General features: G+C 48.4%; 3 protein-coding genes across 4 annotated transcripts in view, besides 7 other annotated features; 2 read left to right on the forward strand and 1 right to left on the reverse strand.

The window, feature by feature from the left end:
• The window catches only part of NSF (N-ethylmaleimide sensitive factor, vesicle fusing ATPase), a 166,796-nt gene extending 158,114 nt beyond the window's left edge, over positions 1 to 8,682 (forward strand). Inside the window, exons 17-20 of one of the 2 annotated variants that reach the window (NR_040116.2) lie at positions 991 to 1,125; positions 2,721 to 2,834; positions 6,532 to 6,591; positions 7,020 to 8,682. Coding sequence is in view for 1 of the 2 variants with exons in the window: in NM_006178.4 (NP_006169.2) it covers positions 991 to 1,125; positions 2,721 to 2,834; positions 6,532 to 6,587; positions 7,020 to 7,041 (327 nt within the window). In the remaining variant the exon portion in view is untranslated. The remainder of the gene's footprint in view (positions 1 to 990; positions 1,126 to 2,720; positions 2,835 to 6,531; positions 6,592 to 7,019) is intronic. The other variant, NM_006178.4, reaches the window with a different exon arrangement.
• The window catches only part of LRRC37A2 (leucine rich repeat containing 37 member A2), a 676,337-nt gene that overhangs the window by 375,991 nt on the left and 274,437 nt on the right, over positions 1 to 25,909 (forward strand). The window lies entirely within an intron of this gene.
• Positions 9,901 to 10,195: an enhancer, noted in NCBI's record as "tiled region #3126; HepG2 Activating DNase matched - State 8:EnhW". NCBI's record gives its function as "activates a minimal TATA promoter and a strong SV40 promoter by Sharpr-MPRA in HepG2 cells {active_cell/tissue: HepG2}" and the evidence as "EXISTENCE:reporter gene assay evidence [ECO:0000049][PMID:27701403]".
• The window catches only part of WNT3 (Wnt family member 3), a 56,187-nt gene continuing 44,001 nt past the window's right edge, over positions 13,724 to 25,909 (reverse strand). The window contains exons 2-5 of the mRNA NM_030753.5: positions 24,886 to 25,127; positions 21,001 to 21,266; positions 19,530 to 20,017; positions 13,724 to 15,839 (exon numbers count right to left, since the gene is read on the reverse strand). Coding sequence (NP_110380.1) covers positions 19,538 to 20,017; positions 21,001 to 21,266; positions 24,886 to 25,127 — 988 coding nt within the window. The 3' untranslated portion in view covers positions 13,724 to 15,839; positions 19,530 to 19,537. The remainder of the gene's footprint in view (positions 15,840 to 19,529; positions 20,018 to 21,000; positions 21,267 to 24,885; positions 25,128 to 25,909) is intronic.
• Positions 23,221 to 23,878: an enhancer, noted in NCBI's record as "OCT4-NANOG-H3K27ac-H3K4me1 hESC enhancer chr17:44849369-44850026 (GRCh37/hg19 assembly coordinates)". NCBI's record gives its function as "activates a minimal SCP1, AML or CMV promoter by ChIP-STARR-seq in naive and primed H9 embryonic stem cells {active_cell/tissue: H9 hESC(naive and primed)}" and the evidence as "EXISTENCE:reporter gene assay evidence [ECO:0000049][PMID:30033119]".
• Positions 23,879 to 24,534: an enhancer, noted in NCBI's record as "OCT4-NANOG-H3K27ac-H3K4me1 hESC enhancer chr17:44850027-44850682 (GRCh37/hg19 assembly coordinates)". NCBI's record gives its function as "activates a minimal SCP1, AML or CMV promoter by ChIP-STARR-seq in naive and primed H9 embryonic stem cells {active_cell/tissue: H9 hESC(naive and primed)}" and the evidence as "EXISTENCE:reporter gene assay evidence [ECO:0000049][PMID:30033119]".
• Positions 24,535 to 25,192: an enhancer, noted in NCBI's record as "H3K27ac-H3K4me1 hESC enhancer chr17:44850683-44851340 (GRCh37/hg19 assembly coordinates)". NCBI's record gives its function as "activates a minimal SCP1, AML or CMV promoter by ChIP-STARR-seq in naive H9 embryonic stem cells {active_cell/tissue: H9 hESC(naive)}" and the evidence as "EXISTENCE:reporter gene assay evidence [ECO:0000049][PMID:30033119]".
• Positions 25,193 to 25,848: an enhancer, noted in NCBI's record as "H3K27ac-H3K4me1 hESC enhancer chr17:44851341-44851996 (GRCh37/hg19 assembly coordinates)". NCBI's record gives its function as "activates a minimal SCP1, AML or CMV promoter by ChIP-STARR-seq in naive H9 embryonic stem cells {active_cell/tissue: H9 hESC(naive)}" and the evidence as "EXISTENCE:reporter gene assay evidence [ECO:0000049][PMID:30033119]".
• Positions 25,502 to 25,646: an enhancer, noted in NCBI's record as "145 bp enhancer 249 fragment used in the MPRA reporter construct; PK_construct_5052". NCBI's record gives its function as "activates an SV40 promoter by MPRA in K562 cells {active_cell/tissue: K562}" and the evidence as "EXISTENCE:reporter gene assay evidence [ECO:0000049][PMID:23512712]".
• Positions 25,566 to 25,581: a transcriptional cis regulatory region, noted in NCBI's record as "ZFP161 motif; enhancer activity is reduced when this motif is scrambled". NCBI's record gives its function as "necessary for full MPRA enhancer 249 activity {active_cell/tissue: K562}" and the evidence as "EXISTENCE:site-directed mutagenesis evidence [ECO:0005528][PMID:23512712]".

A 25,909-nucleotide genomic window follows, 5' to 3' on the forward strand; every position in this document is an offset into this window, starting at 1 on the left:
GACAAACTTGTGATAAGTACCTGGTAAACTAAGCAAAGGGGAAAAAGGCAATTAACTCCAGTAAAACAAAATGTTGTCCAAGAAAGGAAATTGAATAGTACTCTGCATGGCCTAGCTGTAAACCACATTTGTATAAACATAATAAATACTGAATATAGATTTAACTAAAGACTGTGAAATAACTGTATCGGAAGGATGTAAAAAGGGGCATGTGGTGGGGGAAGGGGGGTAGTGCAAAATTAATAATAAATCCCCATCTTCCATGGTAGGAAGTTAGTAAATCATATTTAAAGCTGAAAACAAAAATCTAAAACCAGTAATGTAACATTATTATTTGAAGATAAGGAAGTAAATATAAGAAGAAAAGCCAAGAGAATTGAAAATGGTTGCCTTTGAAGAAAGGGAACTGAGAATGGTAGCATAAGCCTGGCATAGTTTTTAAACTTTTTTTAAAAAAATATTTTGGGGTTAAAAGTAAAAATGAAAAATATTAAATGTGACAATTATGGAAAGCACTTTAGCCCATGCCTTTTACAGTTCAGTGTTGCATAAATATAAACTCTTATTACCCTGCTCCTTCTAAAAAGTGTACTAAAGCCTTGTAAAGCCAGCGCCACATACTTTCTATTCATTTCATCTTTTTTCCCCAATTCCCACCATACATGTGCCATGTTGGCTCTGAGGAAGGAATTACATACATACACGTCAGTATCTTTCCATTTGTTTGTGTATCTTCTTGATTTACTAATCCATTGTTTTATTGATGTGAATGAGAAGGAGCTGTTCACATGTTGCCACTTTCTGAATCATGTGGTTGGTACCTTTTTTCAGGATTTTCAGGAAAATCCTGAATTGTTTTCTTCTGTTTTGCCTAATCATTTGCATCGGCAAGATTAAATAAAAGTCTTTTGCAAATTGTGTTCAAGCTTACTGTAGTTTCCTAATTAGTCTTATTATGTACATTTTAACACATTTTCTCCCTATGATCAGGGCCGCAAGCTTCTTATCATTGGGACCACTAGCCGCAAAGATGTCCTTCAGGAGATGGAAATGCTTAACGCTTTCAGCACCACCATCCACGTGCCCAACATTGCCACAGGAGAGCAGCTGTTGGAAGCTTTGGAGGTAAAAATGAGTCAATGGATTGCACACTGTTTATAAGAAAGGAATTGAGGCTGAAATAAGTAGTACCACATTATACCTGGTGTTTGGTTTTTATGCTAATCTGGAACATGGGACCCGGGGATATTACAGGTTGTATATACCTTATCCAAAATGCCTGGGACTAGGCCAGGCACGGTGGCTTATGCCTGTAATCCCAGCACTTTGGGAGGACGGGGCAGGTGGATCACTTGAGGTCAGGAGTTCGAGACCAGCCTGGCCAACATGGTGAAACCCTGTCTCTACTAAAAATACAAAAATTAGCTGGGCATGGTGGTGGGCACCTGTAGTTCCAGCTACTCAGGAGGCTGAAGCAGGAGAATCTCTTGAACCCAGGAGGCGGAGGTTGCAGTGAGCCAAGATTGTGCCACTGCACTCCAGTCTGGGTGAGGGAGCAAAACTCTAACAACAACAAAAAATGCCTAGGACCAGAAGTGTTTCAGATTTCAGATTTTTTCAGATTTTGGAATATTGCATTATATTTAGGTTGAGCGTCTCTAATCTGGAAATCTGAAATGCTTCAGTGAGCATTTCCTTTGAATGTCATGTTGGCACTCAGAAAGTTTCCAATTTTGGAGCATTTTAGATTTCAGACTTTTGGATTAGGGATACTCAACCTGTACCTCCAGTTGTTTTCAGGAATTAGAGAAGAAAGATGAATATACATGACAGTGAGTTAATTTCCCATTCCTCAATGTAGGCAGCTACAAACTGCCAGGAATTAATTGCTCTGTATCCAGCATGAGTGATGTATATAGATTACTTGGACCAGAAACTTGAATGGGTGGTGGTGTGGGGGTAAGGTAATCACTGTATAGAAAAATTAACCATTCATAGTGGCTTTTAGCACATTTCCTTGCATTTAATAAGTTGGAACAATGATTAAAGCCTTAGAAATGTCAAAAAAAAAAAAGCTACAGAAGTAAAAGGAACTTTATTAACAAGTTTAGAAATAGAAATGTTTTCTTAATTTTTTGAAAATGACAGTCATTTTTAAAAAAGAACGTTCTTCATTTAACTTTTAATATCAATATTCACAAGTAACTTGGTGAGCTCTATTGGAAAATATTATCTACTGAGTTGTTCAGCAGTGGTGGAGTCAGTAAAGCTTCTTAAAGTCCTCAAGGCCCCCAACAAAATTGAAATTTATCTATATGATAAATGTTTTCAGGTTACCCATGTAGACAGCTTTTGTGCAGAAGCTGGGTAAGAGAATTAAAGGAGTTTGCTTTGACACATACAGATTGTTCCTAGAAAAGAATGTTAAAAATTTTAACTTATATTTATTATGGATTGGAGCTATTTTTTTCCCCAGAAAATATAAGTTACATAGCGGTCCATAAGAAAACAGGGTTTAAGATACCAGTTTTCACTTTCATGATTGCACCTAATGGGTTTAGGATGGTGAAGGTCAGACTGGATTTTAAAGTAGGAGAGAATTCTATCAACTTGAACAGTTAGGTAGTTCTTATCACTCTTCTTTTAAAGGTAAATAGAATTAACCAATGTTGATGTGTTCACTGTAAAAGTGCTTTGATTATTGTTTATTGTTTTTGTAGCTTTTGGGCAACTTCAAGGATAAGGAACGCACCACAATTGCACAGCAAGTCAAAGGGAAGAAGGTCTGGATAGGAATCAAGAAGTTACTAATGCTGATCGAGATGTCCCTACAGGTAAGGTACTTCGTTCTCCGTATGACTCAGACAGAACAAAGCTTCAGGACACACCAAGAGGGTTCAGTATTTCCTTTGCCAAGGTTTTAATTAATTTAAGTTTTGATTTTCTTATATTATTTCCAAACTTAATTTGGTATTAGTAGCCTGCTTCTGAGATTGATCACTTAACAATACTTTTTAACTTCTTAAAATTCAAAAATGGAAGGAAAGATTATAAAGTTAGTTTTCATTTAGGGAGCCACTAGGTCTTAGAACTAGAAAAGACTTCAAAGAGCAGTCGTTCTTCTGCCCCCTCATTTTGGAGATAAGGATACTATGTGAGCCACAGGCTGTCAGTGAATTATCCAAGATCACATCACCAGGTTATTGATGGAGAAGGGATGGTGTTGCACCTCAAGTCAGTAAGCGACTGCACATATACCAAACGGTGTCTGGGAGACTGCTTTAAGGGACAAGTTAATTAAGTTGTGCAGTCTAGACTTGGGATCTGTATATTTGTCCCTGGCTGGGCTCCTAGAAATTTCATGCAAACTACTGTAGGGTTGAAGCATCCAGAATCACATAGAAAACTGAGCCCCAGGGTGCTGCCTGGGCAAAGACAGATGAAACTTCTTTGGGACTTTCTCATATCTCCTGGCAACTTACCTTTCTTCATTTTAGAACTCCACCCTTCCATGTGCCCATGCTGTGTCTTCTTGTCCTTATCTGACATACTAGGTAGCTGATAAATACCTCCCTATCAAGCCCTATGAGTTCAGAGACCTTGGCTCTTACTATTGAGTCCACAGCCCCTGGAACAGAGCCAACACATATGAAGGTGCTCAGTAAACTTTTATTATTATTATTATTATTTTGAGACAGGGTCTCGCTCTGTCTCCCAGGCCGGAATGCAGTGCCATGATCATGGCTTACTGCAGTTTTGACCTCGCAGGCTCAGGCGTTCCTCCCGTCTCAGCCTCCCAAGTAGCTGGGACTACCAGCGTGTGCTACCACACTCAACTAATTTTTGTATTTTTTGTAGAAACATGGTTTCACTATGTTGCCCAGGCTGGTCTTGAACTCCCGAGCTCAAGTAATCCGTCTGCCTCAGCCTCCCAGAGTGCTGGGATTACAGGCATGCACCACTATGCCTGGCCCTCGGTAACTTTTTTTCTTTTTTTTTCTTTTGAGACGGAGTCTCGCTCTGTTGCCCAGGCTTGAGTAGTGGCATGATCTCGGCTCACTGCAGCTTCCACCTCCCGGGTTCAAGGGATTCTCCTGCCTCGGCCTCCTGAGTAGCTGGGATTACAGGCGCCCACCCACCATGCCTGGCTAATTTTTTGTATTTTTAGTAGAGATGGGGTTTCACCATGTTGGCCAAGCCGGTCTCGATCTACTGACCTCAGGTGATCTGCCCGCCTCGGCCTCCCAAAATGTTGGGATTACAGGTGTGAGCCACTGCGCCCGGCCAGTAAACTTCTGTTGGATGAATAACTGTAAATTCATTTTACAGTTAGGTAAATGGACAGAGTGGCTGTATTCTAGGCATCATGTGTTACTAGGTGTTACTAGGTCCATCTAGGTGGACAGAGTGGCTGTATTCTAGGCATCATGTGTTACTTACTGATGGTCCTGCATTCTGCTAGTGTGGGCAGTGAGCGGCAGAGGTGAAGTTTCTGTTTCACAGTTACATCTGAAATAGGCTCTTGGACCAATAACAAATTGGAAACGTGAAGTGAATGCTTTTTAATCTTTTCTGGTAAATTTATCTGAAAATAAAATTTTTTTGACTTTCAGAAATCTAATTTAATCTACTGAGCTTTCAGATGGACTATTTTTAAGTCAATTAATTTATTTTCCATTATGAGCCATAAATTAAAGTCACAGACTAACCACTTTGTTTAGACTTATTCTTGGTAAAAGTGCAAATACAGGTGTATTGGCTCTTTCCTTGAAAAAAAGATAAATCTGTCAGATTGTCAGCTTCTTTTTTTTTAAGTTTCAGTATAATTTTTTTTCAATAATTGCATAGAAGAAACTATGTGGATTTTTTCCCCAACCCTCATCCCTTTCCCTTCCTTTGATGCCTGCAGGTCAGTGATCAAGTTAATGCTTCTTATGCATGTGGGATAGAGAGTGAGAGTGGGGCACTCAGGCCTGATCTTCAGCGACTGACATTTCATAGGCCTCTGAGTTTGAACCCCTTCATGTCAAATGGATTTCGTGCAGCTGAGTGAATTCTCTTTAGATCTGCCTTAGAGAGGCTGAACCTAAGTGAAGAGGCATGTAGTTTTGCAGAATATAAGTCGTGGTACCTCTCTGTTCACTACATGCTATTCTGTTAAAACTTGCACAGAGCTGAGGATCTGCTCTGACTGGATGTCACCTGAGGGAATAAAGTCATTTATCTAGATTACTTTTTTCCTCCCTTTCTCCTGACTTTTAATTCCATAGCTACAGGCAAGTCAGTAAGTTGTTGCTCACACATATTAAATATATTTAATGGGCAAAGAACTGCAAGTACCAACTACAACTGCGCTCCAGCCAGTTCTTTTTTTTTTTTTTTTTTTAAGAACTTGACAATTGATTCATATGTAATTCTATTCCCAAAAAGGAAAAATGTTTCTTTTGTTAGCTATTCACACTTTTTCTTAGTCCTTTGTAGTCTGACCTCTTACCTTTGATACATTTGAAACTTCTGTTCAGTGTTTTTCTGGGATAGAAGAAATCTTAAAAAAAAAAGAAAGAAAAGAAAAAAAAATCCGTGGTTGGAGTGGGAGTCCAATTGCACATCTCCCCACAGCTGCACTGAGCATTTGAAAGTTATTCCTGGAGGGCAGGGAGTTCCCTCTTGGGAAACAGACTCCTGCTCTGAAACATATTTTAAAAGTTAGGTGTGTTTCTTACAATAAAAATTCATCTTCAGGAACTAAAGATGTTTTTAACGATTGTTTTCTAGATAACTTCATATCTCCTGTGGGCCTACGAGAATAAAGTACATTTAACGAGTTAGTATAAATATGAATAGAAAATGAAAACCAGTCGAGATAGCTAATAATAACGACCTGAACGAAGCACCTGAAACAAAGTTGCGCCATCTTTTCTTAGACTCATGACACATTCGCAGTCACAGGAGACCCAGATTCATCTGGAGATGATTTCAGGAATCAGCAGTACTCTTCATTTTTTTAGTTTTAGCACAACTTTGTTACTACAAAGAAGAAACTATATGACGGATACTGAGGCTAAGAAAAGCTACATGGTTGGTTATGTAGAGTTAATAAGCTATTTTTTAGTTGTTGAATTAACCTCAACTTGGTATCTTCTACTTTGCTGTGACTTTAGTAGCCTTTTACACCTTCAACAGGTGAATTGGTTGTCATTTGAACTCTGATGAATGGCCCTGTCCAGTCTCACAGCGATGCCTCACAGGCATCAGCACAGGGCACGCCTGGCCCAAGTGCCTATGATGGCCAGCGGGCTTGGGTCTTTTGGAACCCAGTGTACATAGTTCTGGAAAACCCCATTCACTTCCTCCAAATGATGTGATCTGCTTTGTTTTGTGTGAGAATGCTGGTCAAGGAGCAGGTAACACATTCAGTGACCTAGCAGAGCATTGATGAAGTGTGAAACCGAACACTGCCTTCTCATGAAGCAAGTGCAGAGTTGTTAGAAGGTACCATTAACCCATCTTCATTTCTTCTGATGTATTTAGATGGATCCTGAATACCGTGTGAGAAAATTCTTGGCCCTCTTAAGAGAAGAAGGAGCGTAAGTACATACAACATTTAATGACCATCAACCAAACTTACCACCCTGTTAAATCCCTGTGCCTATTCTAAGAGTTGCTTTCCTAGATAAGTTTGTTTCCATTTATTTGAATTCTTCGCTGTGTTGTAGGTCCGAGAGACCAAGCAAGGAAGTTGGTTGTACTGTTGGTTTGCTCTCCCTGTCCTGCTTCGCAAAACTTCCTTGTCACAATGCAGGAAAAACTTAATGGTACATATTTATTGGAACCTGCTTTTACATGCATGGAGCTGTGACCATTTTCTTTTGTGAAGTGCTCATCTAATAGCAAATGCATAGTGGGAAATGTAGGATAACCATTAAGAAGCTTTTAGTGATTTTTTTTTTTTTTTTTTTGATGAATAGTTTTTTACGGACCCTCATCTGTTTTTTTGTGTTTTGGTATTTCTTTTGCAGTAGCCCCCTTGATTTTGATTGAAAATGAACTATTTGAAACACACAGTGACCAAGGGAAGTGACCAAGGTGAAGATGGCCTAGGATCTTCACTGTCTTACTCAAGATACTGGACTAAGTGGAACGTTCTCTACCTTCAACATGTGCTCGCTCTGCATGATTAGTGCAATAAAACTCCCTTCCTTATGCATACTGAGATAGCTTAGTGTCTCGTGGAAGGTGTCAATTTGGTTTAGAATGCTGCGCTTACCTTCCCATGCAGGCTAAAGTGATTCCTTCTTGCTCAGTCCCTCTGGGTGGGAACCATCCAGTACTTGTGGACACTACACGTTTCAACCTCTCTACTAGCACCATCACCCTTGAAAACTCTCAGTCAGTGTCATGAATGTTGCATGACAACAGTTGGCCGATTAGAAGGCAGACTTTCTACATGCAAATCTGGCTTAGTAAATCGAGGTGTGGGCCAGAGATCCTCTGACAGCTGTCCTGAGCTAACACTAAAAGTCACTGGGTATTTGGTTAAAGGTCTCCCACAAGACTGGTATTCTCTTTGCCTGAAGAAACAAGGCATTGAATCTCTAAAATGCTGTTCTCAATCATTGTCAGAGATGTTTTCAAGTTGCAGTCAGAAGATCTTTCTTAATAGAAAGTCAGATGACTACCGTGTTGGTTGTGACTTCCCCTTAAGTATAACTAATTTGCTCTGTGGTAAGAGATATGCTCATTATTACCACTTAGAAGATGTTGTTAAAAACATGTGAAAGATAGGTATGGAAAAAGCATACACCCCCAAACAGAAAGGAGTTATTAAAGTAATTTACAAACCTCTCAGCACTAATTAGTGTCCAACTCCAAGTGGGTCAATTCCTTAGTATAATATTAAGGCTTACTAGTATCACTGCTTTTTCCTTAGCTTAATGACTTACTTAGAATTTATCCTTTATTTTAAATGATCTGTACTATCTAGTGTCTAAAACACTATTCTCCAGAAAAATCAATCATTTTCTAGCCCTCTCCCTCAGTCCTTTATTGTCCATTCCAATACATTGAACACATTTCCTTTACCCTCCACACACTTCTTCCAAAAGGAAGCACCCGTTGAGTCCTTTTGAGGGTGATTTGTCTTACAACTGACTGACTTAGCAGGAATTTAATTAGGTCATATTTGGTGATGAGACTTATGGAGTGTGCCTCTCTCTCCCAACTGCTGCTTAAAATGCAAGGACAAGCAATTAGAAGCCATCCTAAGGTGCTTACCTCACACGCCACCCATGAGGCTTGTGGCCACAGTGGCACTTGGGTGTGGCTCCTCTGTTATTTGTCCTCATGTGAGAAAGCAGATCATCTCCAAATCTTGCCATTTGTATACTTTTGGTGGAGACTTGGATGTCATATCTTCTTTGTTTTGGGTTTTCTTCCCTAGCTTATTTTGTGGCTTTTAAAGAAGTGGATTGTATTGTGAGATCCTGTGATTCCTGGTGGCCAGTATCCTGGATTCCTCTAAGATCTTGCCTCTTTCCTCCTCATGAAAGCAGCACACATTGTGTTAACTTATGTCTCTTGTTAAATGAGCTTAATGTCTTTGTGTTTTGTCCAAAACTGTATTGAAAAAATATTGTTTAATGCAAATGAAGGAATGCAATAAAGAGTAAATATACTTGAAAATGTTCTGTAGACCAGTGTTTCATATAGAACGACATGAACAGCTGATAGGAATGGAGGAAGAAGGAGGGGGCTCAGGAAAGAAACCTCTCCGTGTTTTGTTACAAGTAGCATAACATGAGGGATGATTTTTATTTTAAAAATCTCTTATTTAGAAAGTATAGTTATTTAAAAACATCATTAGAGTATCAGAAAAAGTTAATATACAACCATCTTTATGCTTTATACTTATTTTATCTTACTAAAAAAAAAAAATGCCTGGCACGGTGGCTCATGCCTGTAATCCGAGAGGGAGGCTGAGGTGGGTGGATCACTTGAGGTCAGTAGTTCAAAACCAGCCTGGCCAACATGGTGAAACCCTGTCTCTACTAAAAATGCAAAAAACAGCCGGGTGTGGTGGCACATGCCTATAATCCCAGCTACTCAGGAGGCTGAGGCAGGAGAATTGCTTGAACCTGGGAGGCAGAGGTTGCAGTGAGCCAGGATCACGCCACTTGCACTCAGCCTGGGCAACAGAGCAATACTTTGTCTCAGAAAAAGAAAAAAAAAAAATCAACTCAGGTACCTAAGCCACAAACAAGGTTAGTAATAAACCAGAAAGGAGGGTTGCCACTCAATTAGAATTACTCCTTTCTGTGAAATGTACAAACCAAGGAACTTCAAGGCTCTCAGTGAGATTGCTTCACATGGTTCACTTTTGTATCCTCCATAGTTTTTTACATTTTTCTGAGCTATCAGATCTCTTAACCTCCTAAACCTTGATCCTTAGCATTGGCTCAGTTTAGGACAGGAGGCAGCTCAGAAAGTCCACAAGGCCCTGTGGGGAAGAGGCCAGCTTCAAGAACTTCCACAACGGGAGTTCCTGGGAGGAGGACCCTGAGGCCGACCTGGTCCCTGCATAGCCTTGAGAAGGTGGGTTCTTGAAGCTGCCCAAATATTCTTCAAAGCCAGTGCTGTACAGCAGAGCGTATGAGATTACAGAACGGCCTGTGAAGAAGCAAAGGAGGCTCCAGCTAGCTGCTGCCTTAGGTTTCTTCATCTATAGGCGAATTGTTAACCGGCTATTTTTTTGTCATAAGATGTTTTTGAGATCAAAACCTCAAAAGAGGAGGTTATTTTATCCTTTCTAAATTTGTACATCTTCACTGGGACACTTTTTTTCAATGTCACACAGAAAAATTGCATAATTGTGGTTAAAGTCAGAAATATGTTTTTACTTTAAGGCTGTCTTTTCATATCCTAAAAATTGCAGCCTCCCCTTTAAAAGTTTCAGCAACAAGTCACAAAATCATGGAGTAGATTGAAGTGTGTACAATAATCAAATCCTGATCAACAGACTTGTTGAAACAGTGAGTCAGCTATAAACAAACACCCCAGCCCAAACACAGAAGGTGAAAGCAGGATTTCATTTTCCTTGCCTGACAACTTGGTCCATAGCCTCTTTAAAGAAGTGACTGGGGGCAGCCGGGCGCAGTAGCTCACACTTGTAATCCCAGAGCTTTGGGAGGCTGAGGCGGGCAATCACCTGAGGTCAGGAGTTCGACGCCAGCCTGACCAACGTGGTGAAACACCGTCTCTACTAAAAATACACAATTAGCCGGGCATGGTGGCACATGCCTGTAATCTCAGCTACTTGGGAGGATGAGGCAGGAGAATTGCTTGAACCTGGGAGGCAGAGGTTGCAGTGAGCCAAGATCACACCACTGCACTCCAGCCTGGGCAACGAGCAAAACTCTTGTCTCGAAAAATAAAATAAGTGACTGGGGAAGGGTGTGTATGAGAGTTCAAGAAAGCAGGTAAGTTGCAGAATTTATTGCAAAATGATGTAGAGTTTCTCATCAGCTGGCAAGCCGTACTGAGACTGGGTCCTGGAGACGAGCCCACAAGGGTGTGTGCTGGACGGGCACCATGGCATAAAGATGCGGGAGATAGCGCCTGTGATTGGCAAGCATCCCAAGTGGGTGAAGACAAAATATCCAAGGAGGGATCATGTTTGAAATTTTCCCAGCGTAGACGCCATGCAACTTCTGTCTCACTATTTTGGGAGTATAAGATTAATGGTAAGAAATTTTTGCCTCCTAGAAGGTTCTCTATTAAACTAGGAGAAACAGTGGCAGTGTAGCAGCAATGCGTAGCTGCACTGACTTCACTCGAGTGTGCAGACCAGCCACACACACAAGAACATGTCCCTATGCCCAGGGCCACCAGGGGAGACGGCATTAGGTAACACCAAGAATCATGTCGCCATCATGTTTCCTTGCTTTTCTTTTTCCCTACCTTCTTTCCTTCCACCTTTCTTTGTACCTCATCCCCTCATCCTTGAACTGTCTCACATGCTTTCCTTCCCTTCTTTCTTCATAAAATAATATTGCTTTGAAAGATATCTTCTAATTATGTCGTCTCTTTCAGATTTTTAAACAACGTCCTCTTGTGTTTAGACGTTTGTAAGTACTTATACATAAGGAGAAACTACATGTTCAAGCACAGCTATCAACTGTATTCTCCTTAACCATCAAATAAGACTGGGCAGGGTGTGATGGCTCACCCAGTAATCCCAACACTTTGGGAGGCTGAAGTGGGAGGACCCCCTGAACCCAGGAGTTTGAGACCAGTGGGCAACACAGCAAGACCCCATCTCTACAAAAGATTTTATTTTTAATTACCATAGTAGAGTGCGCCTGAGTCCTAGTTACTTGGGAGGCTGAGGAGGATCATTTGAGCCCAGGGGGTCAAGGCTGTGTTGAGCCATGATCATGCCACTGTACTCCTGAGTGACATAGACACTTGTCTCTTAAAAATTAAAAACTAATCATACGATTACAAATGGTCTTCATTAGTATGAATAGGGACCATTTAAATATTTGGCAATCTTATTGATTGAAAAAGTACTGGCCAGGCAGGGTGGCTCATGCCTGTAGTCCCAATGCTGAGAGGCTGAGGTGGGAGATCATTTGAGGCTAGGAGTTCAAGACCAGCCTGAGCAACATAGCAAGACCTCATCTCTAAAAAAAAAAAATTAAAAAATTAGCTGGGCATGGTGACACATGCCTATGGTCCCAGCTACACGGGAGCCTGAGGTAGGAGGTCACTTGAGCCCAGGAGGTCAAGGCTGCAGTGAGCCATGATCACACCACTGTACTCCAGCCTGGGCAACAGAGGAAGACCCTATCTCAAAAAAAAAAAAAAAAAGAAAAAAAAAGGAAAAAGTACCTAGAATTCTGGGATAGATAAGTTCAGTCGAGCATCCCTAATCTAAAAATCCAAAATCTGAAATGCTCTAAAATCTAAAACTTTTCAGCACCGACAGGATGCCACAAGTGGAAAATTCCACACCTGACCTTGTGTGACAGGTGGCAATCAAAATTCAAAATGCAGTCTAAACTGTTTCATGCACAAAATTATTTAAAAATTTCATAAAATTACCTTCAGGCTATGTGTGTAAGGTGCATATGAAATCAATGAATTTCGTGTTTAGACTTGGGTCCCATCCCCAAGATACCTCATTGTATATATGCAAATCTTCCAAAGTCTGAAATATTTCTGGTCCCAAGCATTTCAGAAAAGGTGTAGTCAACCTGCATTAGCTTTATGCAAAAGAAAAATAAAAAGTCGAAATGAAATAAAAATGACCAGACTGTAAGATGTAGAGGAGATCTGTATCCTGTACGTGTCCGATTCGTTGTATGGCTGAAGTGTAACAGTTTTTGTGGTTTCAGCTTTTCAGGGGCTAAAGACACATCATGGACAAAACAGAGTGCATCAACTTCTGGTGGCTATTCCTAACCTCAGGTCACAGGTCTGAATACAGCGCAGAGCAGCCCGCCTCCACCATAGGCGGCTCATGGCTTTATTTTCCTGGTTTTTTTTTGTTTGTTTTTTTTTTTTTTTGAGATGGAGTCTCGCCTTGTCACCCAGGCTGGAGTACAGTGGTGCGATCTCAGCTCATTGCAACCTCCGCCTCCCAGGTTCAAGTGATTCTCCTGCCTCAGCCTCTCAAGTAGCTGGGACTACAGGCATGCACCACCATGCCCAGCTGCTAATTTTTGTATTTTTAGTAAAAACGGGCTTTCACCATGTTGGCCAAGCTGGTCTCGAACTCCTGACCTCAAGTGATCCACCCACCTCGGCCTCCCAAAGTGCTGGGATTACAGGTCTGAGCCACCCCACCCAGCCTGTTCTCATTATTTCTCTTCGTAGTGAGGTAAGATTTGTTCCTAAATGAGGTAGGTCAGGAGAAATAAAAAGAAAAAACATTTTTGTTATTCTCTGAAATAATGTGCTGAATAAACCAAAGGTGACATTTTATGGGTAGGTCTGAAAACTAAAGGATTGTCTGTTGTCATAAAACCAACTTGTGGCATCTCATTGTTGAGAAGGCATAACCTGTGAGCTTCCAGTGGGTCCTGTGAAGTGGCGATCTGAGAGGGTGCCCATCCCCAGAGCATGCCCACTGGCAGGCCCTTTCTACCCAAACCCAAACCCAACTTCAAATGACAATTGTTCCAGACAGCCCACAGCCCAGGGCACACGCTTTCTTCTTGTAGACCAGCCTACCTCCCTCTACGGCTTAGCTCTCACAGTGGAGCTAGCAGGGGACAGACAATTTTCAGTCAAGTTTCATTTTCAATAGAGAAAATCCTATTTTCCCATTAAATGGAGTTGAAAACGTGGTGAGGAGGGGATTAAGGCAGTGGCCACCCCTGCGGTCTGCTGGCCTTGGGCCACATCTTTTAGGAGTGCCTGTGACATTAATTTATACATTGAAAATACTTGAGTCTGTGAAATGAATTAGTACACAAGTTGTTGTTTTCTAAAACTGGAAATTCATTGTTAGAAGTTAACTTAGAACAAAAGAAGCCTTTAAAAATGTACTGTGGTGTATCAGACCCACTGTCCGTGACATCTCTGATGATCTTGCTTAGAAAACAGAGGAAATAACCTTCACTTGGTCATTTAATTAGCTGAGGCCACCATGTTCAGAATCTCGTATCCTTGACCTCCTGAGCATTAATCTGGAAACTCCACACAGTGTACAATGTATCCATTTTAGGTTTGTTTACCTTCTCTTTAATGACTTAACAGAAAAAAACTGCATGATGAAATATATTTTCTCCAAATATATATATATTTATATAATATATAATCTTAGTTAACTCAAAGGTATATACATTGTATAATAAATAATATTTATAAAAAGAGACTTTTTGAATATAAAATCAAAAAGATCAACAACTTCTACAACTTTTTACAAAACTTTGGATACAGCAGGTTGGTAGGAAATTTCGGTTGGATACTATTACCTGACTACGGCGAGAATCATTACAATGCACTCATGTACTATTATTAAATAATTACTTGTCAGCTACTTGAATACGCCCCAGAAACATGACTTTATCACTTTTAATATAGAATACATAGATATGAAAAGATTGTTTTGAAAATTCGTATCCATTCTGCTGAAGTATTCTCACATAAAGCAAGTATTATCCAGTTGACATGATTTAAAACTTTTCAGTCTAAGGTGAGATGGGGAGGGGCATTTCAGACTTGGCGGAGGGGGTGAGATGTGTATCTTTAGCAGGGCTTGTGGCCAGCAGATTTAGAAGTGAAGGCGGGCTCCTGGACGACCATCTTGGCAAGCCCACCTGCACCAGCTGGGAGATCGCTGCCCTGGTATTTTAGGTCAGGGTTAGGTAGACCCCAGAGAGAAGGGGGAGAAAGAAAAATCTTTGTTCTGCTCATTCCCCTGCTGCATCTCTTCTTTCTGATTCTCCCTAAGACAGTTGTTGAACCAATTCATACTGTGAAATCCATGTGCCTCCCTTTTGCTAGCTTTCTCTAGGACGCTCAGCTGGACCAGTATGCCTCAGGGAGAACTCAGCCGTGAGATGCTTCACCTAAGGGAGTAGGTGACTGCTGGTTCCCCTTTGAACTTCTAATCCAGATCCTTGGGAACTGCATGGATGGAAGCTATCTCAGCATGCAGGTGAGGGAGGAAGAGCTGGGGGAAAGAACTCTGTGTCTGTGTTTACTCACATTGGCCCCAGAGAGGAAAGGACACAGTAAGATGGGTCCGTATTGGAGAGGAAGCAAAGGGATGGTTTTCATCCTCCCCATCTGCTAGTCACAAAGTTGGAATTTCAGGAATTGATGGCTACTCCCTCACGGACCCTTTGTCTAACTTATACTAAGGTGACCTGGAGTCCAACTGCTCTACCTGGAGTTATTTGTACAGAGAATCTGCAGGTGAGCAGGGCTGGGAAGGACTGAATGGCCCCTTCTGAAGATACCGCTTATTTATTTAGGAAGCCATTTGAGCTAGAGAAGACTTGCCCCCTTACATAGCCTATTTACAAGGTCCACTACCACCAAAAAAAAAAAAAAACAAAAAAACAAAAAAAAAACTGCATTGACGGTGGAAACTGCAGAATGGTAGAAAAAGATTTTGAGATCTGACTGCCCCTCGTGCAGAACAGGGTTATAGAGAAAATGAGACTGAGAAGAACACATGGCTGCTCTTCAAACGGCTGACCAGGCCACCCTGAGCTGCCAGTTCTTCCAAACTCCAAATCCTACTCTAACAACTGCCACGGACCTTCCTACCACTTCATCCTAGCTAAACCTATGGCTTTTATCAGAATGAGAAATTAGCTCAAATTTGAATGGGAGTGGACCAAGAAAAGGAGACTGCAGGGGTGTGTCCTACTTCCTGACTCCCACCCTCCAGGCGTCTTGGAATGTCACCAGAAGCAGCAGTTTGGAAACAGAACCTTGCCCATGCTGATGTCTTGACTGCCAGGCTGAGAGCTCACATTAGCCCAGCCTGTTCTGTTGGAGTCAAATTTTTTTTCATTTTTATTTTCTTTAACATGTGCAAAGATAAGCCTCAGGTCTGTTCCTATCAGACCCTAGAGAACTAAAAAGAAAGCCCCCTTCTTTAAAAACCACACACCATCCAGAGTAGGGTGAGAAATGTAAGATGAGAGAGAGGGAGAGCCTCCCCGTCCACAGGCGAGTTGGGTCTGGGTCATTTACCACGCGTGCGGCTGGTGACAGTTCCTTGCTGTCTGACGCTGAGGGCTGTGCCCGGCTCTAGGTCCTGCTTCCCATGAGACTTCGCTGAATCCGCCCAGCCACACACTTCACCCCTTCCCAGCGCCCTTGGGGAAAATCAAGAGGAAGAATTAGAAACATAATTCCATTCCCAGAGACCACCCATTGGGGTTCAAAGATCAGAGGCTGCTGATGGATCTGAACGTGTCCCTGGTGCTCAGAGGTGATGAGGACTTGGGTGGTTTCTCCACGCTCTCCTCTGTGCTTTGGGCCTGCTGTTGAGGGAGGTCGTATGAGTCACAGGAGCAGTAAGGCTTTCGAGTCCACAGAATGGGATCGAAATTCTACCTCCCCCACCTCTAGCTGAGGGCCTTGGGCAACAGGAAGCCCAGGAGCAGGTCACTCAGGATGGGAGAAACGGTGCCTGGCCGAGGGCCCAGTCCCCAACTCCAAGTCAACTGCTGTGCTGGGCTCACGCCAGGCATGCACTGTGTTTTTGTACCGCACCAAATAGCTTGATAATGAGCTGTCCAAATGGGAGAGAGCCTACTTAATTACGAACAATTCCTTCCCATTGGAGCAGCAGTGTGTTCATTTTACTCATTTGCATAGTCATATCTCACAAAGGGTTTGAGGCATTCCCAGTCAACCCCCAGCTCTTCTAGGGGGCTGACAAGGCCAAGATAAGACTACTTTACAGAGGCAGAAACAGGCTCAGCCAGATTGAAGGGACACATCCAAGGTCTCTCAGCAAGGCAGTAACAGATCCAGGACTTGGGCGCAGCCAGGCCACTCGACTCTTGCCAGAACCTTTCCAGCTCCAGCTCACCATGTTCACAACAGCAGAGTGACGAGGAATAAATCTGGCACTTGTAAGGCACCAAATCAATGGTTAGCCAGAGACACTGGGTAAAAGCTACAAAAAGCTACAGAAAAGGTGTTTTCCCCACAAAGGAAGGACACAAGCCATTTGACAGGCGCTCTCTCCTCACCGTGTGGAGGGCCCGGGGCCTGCTCTGCGACTCCCTTCTCTCTCCTGCCTGCACTGCCAAGACTGTCAGGGAAGACAAGAGAACAGCTAACGACTCTGTCCCCTGCCATCCCTGCCAGTGCATCCCGCAGGCTCCCGTCTTGCCTAGCGGAGTCTCGGCCGAGCCTGGGCCCATTGCTCCAGAGCAGGCGGCTCTCGCCTGGGGAGGTGGCTCTGGGAGGTCAGCTCTGCTTGGCCCAGGAGCCTCTGTGGCTGCCCTGTGAGCAGCTGGGTCCTGGGCCAGGCCCTTCATGTGCAGGGTCTCCAGTCCACAGGACAACCCTACACAGAACACAGTTCTCATCCCCAGTTCACAAATGAAGAAGCCAGGGCTCAGCGAGGCAGAAGAGCTGGCCTGGGAGTGTTTATCAGAAGGGCACCATGTTGGGAGAGTGTCCTCCACTGGTCACAGAGTGAGGCCTCCAGAGCTTCCACAGAGAAGGGGTTCCGGGTAGGAACCACTTGGACACAGCATCTTGAAACCATATCTATGTAGCACTTTACATAAGATTGAGGAAAAAAAACACTCATTGTCCATTTCAGAAATGGGGAGAAAGAGGGCTGATGAAGAGTACTGATTCTGGCCGGGCGCGGTGGCTCACGCCTGTAATCCCAGCACTTTGAGGGGCCAAGACGGGTGGATCACTTGAGGTCAGGAGTTCAAGACCAGCCTGGCCAGCATGGCGAAACCCGTCTCTACTAAAAATAAAAAAATTAGCCGATCGTGGTGGCGGGCACCTATAATCCCAGCTACTCGGGAGGCTGAGGCAGGAGAATCGCTTGAACCCAGGTGGCGGAGGTTACAGTGAGCCGAGATTGCGCACTTCACTCCAGCCTGGGCGACAAAGAGAGACTCAGTCTCAAAAAAAAAAAAAAAGTTCTGCTGGGCTCCCATTGTCACCACCACTGAACAGAGGAGGAAACTGGCGCTCCCAGGCCAGACAGCTGAGTGGACGAGTGGAGGCGCTGGATTCACCTTCGTCCTCTCCCACTCCCCACACTGCTTTTGTTCAGATACCGACAAAGGTAGTGCCACCTGCTGCCTTTCTGGACTGTCCCCACCAGGACAGAACTTGAGCTACACCGAGGGGCTTCCTAGATGGGCTGAGTGAGTCGCCCCTCAGCCAGAGCTCTTCTCCATGACGTCAAGTACCTCCCATATCTCAGAGAGGCCCGTCCACTTCCCTCCCCTACTCCCTATGGCACAGACATGTGCCAGTAGCTCAGAGGTGCCCTGTGGAACTGCAGGAAGAGGGGGCACTCTACCCTTTCACAGGCTGCTCTCGCCCAGCAGCACCCCAGACAACAATGACCCAGCAGGGAAGTGCTTCCCAATTAACCAAGCCCTGTCCTCGGTGTCCTTTCATTTGTCCCTCACAGCATCTCTGGGGAGGATGACAGATGAGGAACCAGGTCTATGAAGAATTTCTTGCTTGGGTCACACGGTTGGCAAGTGGTAGGAGCTGGAGCAGGGCAGGGCCTAATTCCAACACCCATGCTCATGCCTCGACACACTAGGCTCCTTCTCAGGGGACAGAAAAGGAAGAAAGGGCACCCCAGCCTTAAAACCTTCCACCCCGGGGGTCCAGGACCACTCCTCATCCATGCTGACCTATCCCGGGGTGCTGTGGAACCCAGGGCCAGTGCATAGCGCCTCCCATGCAGGCCACCTCTGGGAAGCTTGGGAACAAAATCCACCCGCCTTTGATCCCTCGATTACTCATCCCAGCCACTCTGAACTTGAATCCCTCCTGCTCCCCGTCATCATCCATAAACTCGGTGAGAGTGCTCCCCACTCCACCCAAGCTTCAGATCTGTCAGGATATGGGCTTATATGCCGCTTCCCCCCACCCACCTCCCTGAGGTTGGTACGATTTATGCTTGTGCAGGAACTTGCCCTCTAAGTTCAAGGTGGATGCACACTGACTCTGCCTCAGGGGTAGAGGAGACATTTTGGCTCGCTGCTTGAGGTATTTAAACTGCCCCCTGCCCTTCACCACCATCACCACTTTATAGTAAGAAAGCTGAGGCCCAGAAAAGTGAAAGAACAGGAAGTTACTGACAAAGTTAGGACCAGACGTCAGGTCTCCCAGCTTCCAGCCCCCCATCTCCAAATAATGCTCAAGAATGACAGCTAGCAGCTATGCAAAAATTTGATCTGGCTCATAACTAACTTGTGTAAAAATGTTAATCAATTGCTGGCACCTAATGTGCACACACTGAATTTTGTTTTTTTTTGTTTGTTTGTTTGTTTGTTTGAGATGGAGTCTCACTCTGTCGCCCAGGCTGGATGGAGTCCAGTGGTGCAATCTCAGTTCATTGCAACCTCTGTCGCCCAGGTTCAAGCAATCCTCCTGCCTCAGCCTCCCAAGCAGCTGGGATTACAGGCACCTGCCACAACGCCCGGCTAATTTTTGTAGTTTTAGTAGAGACGGGTTTCACCATGTTGGCCAGGCCGGTCTCGAACTCCTGACCTCAGGTGATCCGTCCACCTCGGCCTCCCAAAGTGCTGGGATTACAGGCGTGAGCCACCGCACCCGGCCAACACTGGGTTTTTATCTGTGCTTTGTGCAATCCACCAAGTCTCTGCCCAAGGACCATTCCCACGGATGCTTGAAAAATCCTAGCTTCCTATTTTGGCTGTGGGAACTTGTGTGTCTTGGATAGCTTAGAAACAGAAGGGGGTCGTCAAGAAGACGAGATGGGCAAACAACCCCATTCCCTGCGCCCAGGCTCCCAGCCTCCCCCCTGCTTCCCGGAGCCCTACCTGGTGCCCTACTTGCAGGTGTGCACGTCGTAGATGCGAATACACTCCTGGCAGCTGACGTAGCAGCACCAGTGGAAGATGCAGTGGCATTTTTCCTTCCGCTTCTCCGTCCTCGTGTTGTGGCCCCGGCCACAGCAGAGCAGATCGCAGCCATCGATGCCGTGGGAGGTGACATTGCAAGTCCGGTCCCTTGTGCCAAAGGAACCCGTCTCTGGGTTGGGCTCACAAAAGTTGGGGGAGTTCTCGTAGTAGACCAGGTCCCTCTCCGTGGGTGGCTTGAAGAGCGAGTACTTGGCCCGGAGGGTCTCCACCCAGCCTCGGGACTCACGGTGCTTCTCTACTACCATCTCCGAGGCGCTGTCATACTTGTCCTTGAGGAAGTCACCGATGGCACGGAAGTCAGGCTGCGCCCACCAGCAGGTCTTCACCTCACAGCTGCCCGACAGCCCGTGGCACTTGCATTTGAGGTGCATGTGGTCCAGGATAGTCTGGGGGAGAGAAGTGGCAGCTGGCCAACAGACCGACCCCACGAGGGGGCACATCCAGGCCTTCCCTCTCTGCCACTGCCCACCCCCTTCCCTCCAGCCTTCTCTACTCCTCTGTGACAGGAAGAGAACTGATGGGGACTGAGGCAAGACCTAAAGAATAGTGACCATGTTTCCCTCCCCCTTCACACCCCAAGCATGGGTAGACAGCACGTCCACTTCTCACAGCGCATGAAATACGAGTTGTTGCCCAGGCGCGGTGGTAATCCCAGCACCTTGGGAGGCTGAGGCGGGAGGATCACCTGAAGTCAGGAGTTTGAGACCAGCCTGGCCAACATGGCGAAACCCCGTCTCTACTAAAAATACAAAAATTAGCTGGTGTGGTGGCGGACGCCTGTAATCCCAGCTACTTGGGAGGTTGAGGCCGGAGAATTGCTTGAACTCGGGAGGCGGAGGTTGCAGGGACCCAAGATCCAGCCACTGCACTCCAGCCTGGGCGACTGAGCGAGACTCCGTCTCAAAAAAAAAAAAAAAAAGAAAAGAAAAAGAAAAAAGAAATAGGAGTTATCTCCATTTAACACATGGGGAAACTGAGGCTGGGAACTTAACGTGACTCACCCTAGATCATACAAGCATAGTAAGGGAGTGGAGGCTGAATTCAAAGCCAGGTTCCCAGGACTTGACAGCCCTACACCGCGTGCCAAGGTGCACAGGATGGGTGGTGGGTGGCACCTGATCCCACGGGGTGGCCATGCTCCCAGGCCGACTCATCCCGGGTGGGGTGGAGTCCAGGAACTGCCCAAGGAGGAAGGAGGGTGGACAGACGAAGTGGCTGTGGGGTGGGGAGGAGGCCAAGCCTGGCCAAGGGGAAAAGGAGCCCGCGACCCACAGGGCTGCCGGAAGGGGTGAGGTGGGGGCCAGGGCAGCTCCGGAGGGGAAGCGGGGGGCTGCTCCCTGAAGGGTTTGGGGAGGGTAGCCGGGCTCACCGTGCGGCCCGCCTCGTTGTTGTGCTTGTTCATGGCCGAGCGCGCGTCCGGCCTGTTCTCGCGCGCATCCGCGAACTCCCTGGACACTAACACGCCGAAGTCAGCGTCCTCGCTGCAGCCGCCCCACTTCCAGCCTTCGCCAGGCGGCCCCTTATGATGCGAGTCACAGCCGCAAATGGTGGAGGTGCCCTCGGCGCAGGAGCGGGTGACGGCGAAGGCCACGCCGGCCGAGGCGATGGCGTGAACGAAGGCCGACTCGCGGGTGGCTGCGGGGAGGTCGTGGGGAGGCAGCACTCAGGACCCGGCCTGGGAGCGCCTGCCCTGCCTCCACCTCCCAGGCCAGGACGTGAGGGGAACGAGGCCAGGAAGAGTTGAAGAGCTCACCAGCCCTGAGGCAAGAGGGAGGCAGCTTCCCCACCCTCTTTGGCTGGTTTAGACCCAGTTGGGTATTCCCACTTCACCGATGAGCAAACTGAGGCCCTGGGCTGCTGATTAGCTCAGGACCTCAAATGCCACAGGGCAAAGCAGTGCCTGTTAGAAACAGGCGCCGACACCAAACCTCTGGCAGGTTGCTGCAGAGATAAGGCAGCCACTTCTGTCCTGGTCCCACACCCCCTGCCCTCCACCTTCCCAAAGTCCAGAGACCACCCTGCACAGGCCTGAGCCCTCCCACGCCTGAGTGAGATCCAGGTCTGTAAGGAGGGAGGCCTGGGAATCTACAGCCTAAACCTGCCCAGGCCCACCCCTTCCGCACGTGGATGCATAGGGACGGCCCCTCTCCTTTTCTCGGTCTCAGTCGCCCTTTTTGTAAAATGGACACGGCTTCCCTCCGCTCCTAGAGCCCCTCACCAGGAGGGCAGTGGCCCGTGCCTCAGTCTCCCCATCCCCATTCTCCTGCCCTCACGCCCAGGCACGGCCAACTCCCTCCCAGAAGGGTAGGGACACCGGGCAGTTCCCCTGGTTCTGTCCCAGGGTCCAGCGCAGGGAAAGGAGAGACTCTCAAGGGTGTGCTCCAGCCTCCTCACAACGGTCATCGTCTCTGCATGTGCTTCATTCACATGGAAAGTTTTACTCATTTTATAGATGTGGACATTGACGATTAGGGAGGCCAAGGCCTGCAAGACCTGCAGCCCAACCATCTCTCTCCTCATGGCAGGACCCGGGAGCCGGAGGTGACTCGCCACCTGACACAGGCTGTGAAACGCCGGGCCGGCCTAGTCGGCAAAATTGGTCATAAATGTGACCAAATTTATTTAGAAGCCAGGCGCCCGCCTCCCCTCCTGGGCTGTGGGCCGAGTGCTGCAAGAAGGAAGCCCGGGACCCCTCTTGGCTCCCGCGGCCGCTCTCCGCGGCCCCCACGCCCTCCTGCGCCACCTACAGAGGGGCCCGTCCCACTTCCAACGACGGGAGGGCGAAGAGTGCAGAGCTGGTCCCGCCCGCGCCCCGCGCCTGCGCTGCCAGGGCCGACCGAGGACGGCGGCAAGGGGGCCCGACGTCCCGCGTCCAGTTGTGCTCCCGGCCTCGGGGTCCCAGCCGCGCCGCTCACTCGCCCCAATCCTAGACGCCCCAGCCCTGGGGGCGCCTCGGGGAAGAGGGGCCGAGGGCGGGTTCACAGGGCGGGCGCCCCTCGTTTCCGGCCGGCCTGCGGCCTCTCGCGGCGGCAGCGGCGCCCGGGCCCCGGGCCGCGCTGGGTTCCCAGCCCCGGGAACGCGGGGGCGGCGGGGGCGGGGCGGGGATTAGCCTGGGAGCGGCGCTGACAGCCCCGCTGTGCCTTCCCCGTCCGGCGGGGCCCGCTGGGCCGCTCAATCCGCCTTTGTTCGCGCGGTGTCACACCGCATTACCCGCATAATGCGGCCGCCGGGCCCGGGCCGCCGGGCCGGCCGCCACCGCGTAGCAACGGGCGGCTCCCGCGGCCGGGCCGCGCCCCCGGCCCCGGCGCCGGGCCGCGAAATCCCCATTGAAGCGGCGCCCCCCGCCCCCGCGCCGCGCCGCGCCGCGCCGCGCCGAATGGCCAGAGGGCGTGTGAATGGCGCGGCGGCCGCGCGGTGGGGGGGCGGTGCTCGGGCGCTTTTCAGGCCGCCCAGGCCCCTCCGGCGCCCGCCCCCGCCCCTGCCCCCGCCCCCGCCTGGGGAAGCGCCTCGGGCCCGCCGCGCCGCCGCCGCGCCTCGCCCCTTCCGGCCGCCGACCCCGCCGCCCCCAGACTCGCGGAAGACGCGCGCCCCGGGCTGCCCGACCCGCTGCGCCCCGGGTCTCAAAGCGCGGGGCAGAGATTAACCCTTGGCCGCCCACGCGGCGGTGGTGTGGGGACTCGCCGGGGGCGGGGTGCAAACGTGGGGCCGGAGCTGGGCGCGAACCTGGGTTCAAGGTCCGGGCTCTGGGCACCGACCGGGGCGCGTATGCGCTCGCGGCGTCTTCCGGGATGCTCTCCTCGCCGCCGCCAGCAAATTCCCAAACTCTCGGGCACACATCGCCCCTCCCCCCGCAACCCAAACCTGTCCTCGGGCCATCTAGGGACCGGGGCGTGTGCCAGAACCTACGGTGGTGACTTAAAACGTTCAACGCGGAGTGAATGGGTAGCGCTCCCAGAGCCGCTTTCCCCTGGCTCTTGGCCGGAGACGGGAAGAGCGATCAGAGGTGACTCGCTTTTGGGGAGCGCGTCTAGACGCAGGGTTGTTTGATTCAGCGCTACCTGGCCCGAGGAGGGGCACCGGAAAGCGCTGAGACCAACACACCGACAAGAACGAGTTTGAAATGCAAACCGCCGCCACTTGGCCCCAATTAAGAGGCCAAATCTTTTATGTCAACAAGGAATAATTAGTTTTGGCAATAGAAGCGTAAACAGAATCATCATCCATTGATTTGCTAATTACCCTCCTGTCCCATGACAATAGCCAGCACTTTGCCTGTAGGTGGGACAGACCCTGAGCACCTGAGGCACCGGTAAAGGGGAACTGCACTCTAAAATGGGGGTTGTCAGCTTCCCCCCCAACCCCACCCAGCACCCCACCCCTTCACCTGAACGTCAGATCCCTTTTCTTTCTGGCTGTATAGGCAGCTCTCATTCATTCCCTAGCTTCTAATAGGAGGGAGGGCCAGGCTCAGCGGTTTGGGTGGCAGAGCAACTCTGGCTGTGGCCAGCCCGGCCAGGATCGTTAAATTCCTGGACACTGCCGTTCCACAAAGAGCTGCCCATCTTCCACCCAGTCCATGAGCCCCCAAGTCCCCTTCTTGGGAGGAGTTGTCCCACTTAGCCTCCCTCCCAGGGCCTGCAGGTTCAAAGTCAAATCATGTGGTTCCCTGTCCACTTGAGGCACAGCCAGTTAGACTCCCAGGCTGCAAGACGGCCGGAAAGTTACCCAGAGGCCAGTGCACCCTCTAGCCCCACCATGATTCCTGGGCATATCCAGCTGACAGGGCATGAGGATGAACAGAAACCTAGAGGGGCTCTTGGGGGCAACGCAATGCTACCACAGCACCAGGCAGCTTCCTCACCTACTGAGGACTTTCTAGATGGGAGGGACCTAGGGGTGGCAATGCTCTCACCCCCACCCCAAAGCGGTATTTGCATAGCACTTAACACAGCATTGGGGAAATGTCACAAATGTCCACAGCAGGAGCCTGAGGCGCCCACTGTGCAAAAGCCAGGAAGGAAGTCTGTGGCCTTCTTGGTGTCGGCCCTCAAACCTCAGGATCCTGGAGCATCTCAAGGCGGCCCAGCCCCCAGCAGCGCCTGGGAAGGTGTGGCAGTCATGCAACCAAATTTATCACCCTCCCAGAGGGACCCTGGCTTCAGAGAAGAGGCACCCTGACTGGGGTGGAAGGGCATACAGTCCTGATCCCTCCCCCCACCCAGCCCCTCCCCCCCCCTCAGCCCCAAGGCAGTACCTTTGTCGAGGACGGGCCCAAAGATGGCCAGGCTGTCATCTATGGTGGTGCAGTTCCAGCGGCGGCCCCGGAACTGGTGCTGGCACTCCTGGATGCCCAGCTTCACGCCCTCGGCCACGCTGGGCATGATCTCGATGTAATTGCGGCAGAAGCGCAGTTGCTTGGGGACCAGGCCTGGGATGGAGCCGCAGAGCAGGGGCTGTGAGCCCAGAGATGTGTACTGCTGGCCCAGGGCCAGGGACCTGCAGGCAGACAGAGGGTAGTAACACTGTGGGCACAAAGCACAGAGCCCATCCTGGGCACCATGGCCGCTTTGTGAACCCTCCGGGGTAGGTGGAGAGGCAGAGGGCCTGTGCCCTGGCACCTGAATGTGCTACCTTTGACCTCGGGAGCATGCCGCCCCTCAAAGCGCAGAGCTCTGACCCACGCAAGTCAGCCCTCTGGCTGCATCCAGCTTGCAGGGGGATGGGACCGCAGAAGCCGCTTGTGGGGGCCCTTGGGGGCAATGCAAAGCCATGAAAAGAGGTTTGGACTAGAAAGATGGTATTTGGGGCCCAGATCCAGTCCTTTCCAGGTTCTGGGTCCAGCTTCCCTGATGGGCATTGAAGAGATCAGGCTGGGCAATTTCCAAGGCAGTCCAGGATACTGGGGCCACATGGACACTTCCAGTGACTCATGGGACACGCGCGCGCGCGCACACACACACACTACCCTTGGCAATGCCCTCAGCCTCTTCCCTGCGATGGTGCCAGCCCAGCCCAGAGCCTCCCAGTATCTCCCCAAGGAATTGCTGGCTTGCACCAAGTCCTTTGTCTACCAGGGCCTCCATGACCATCTTTCCAGTTTCCTAGAAGTTTCTAGAGCTCCACCTCTTTTCTCATGAGAGACTGGAGCTTGGCTTTGTGTCAAAACAAGTTTAGCACAGAGTCAGAAGGGAGATCTCAGATCTCACTGCCCACACCCAACACCAGGTGACTGGTCAATTCACTCCATTCCTCTGCCCCTCGCTTTGTAATCAATATCC

Source organism: Homo sapiens, chromosome 17 (assembly GCF_000001405.40).
Source record: "Homo sapiens chromosome 17, GRCh38.p14 Primary Assembly".
Lineage (NCBI taxonomy): Eukaryota > Metazoa > Chordata > Mammalia > Primates > Hominidae > Homo > Homo sapiens.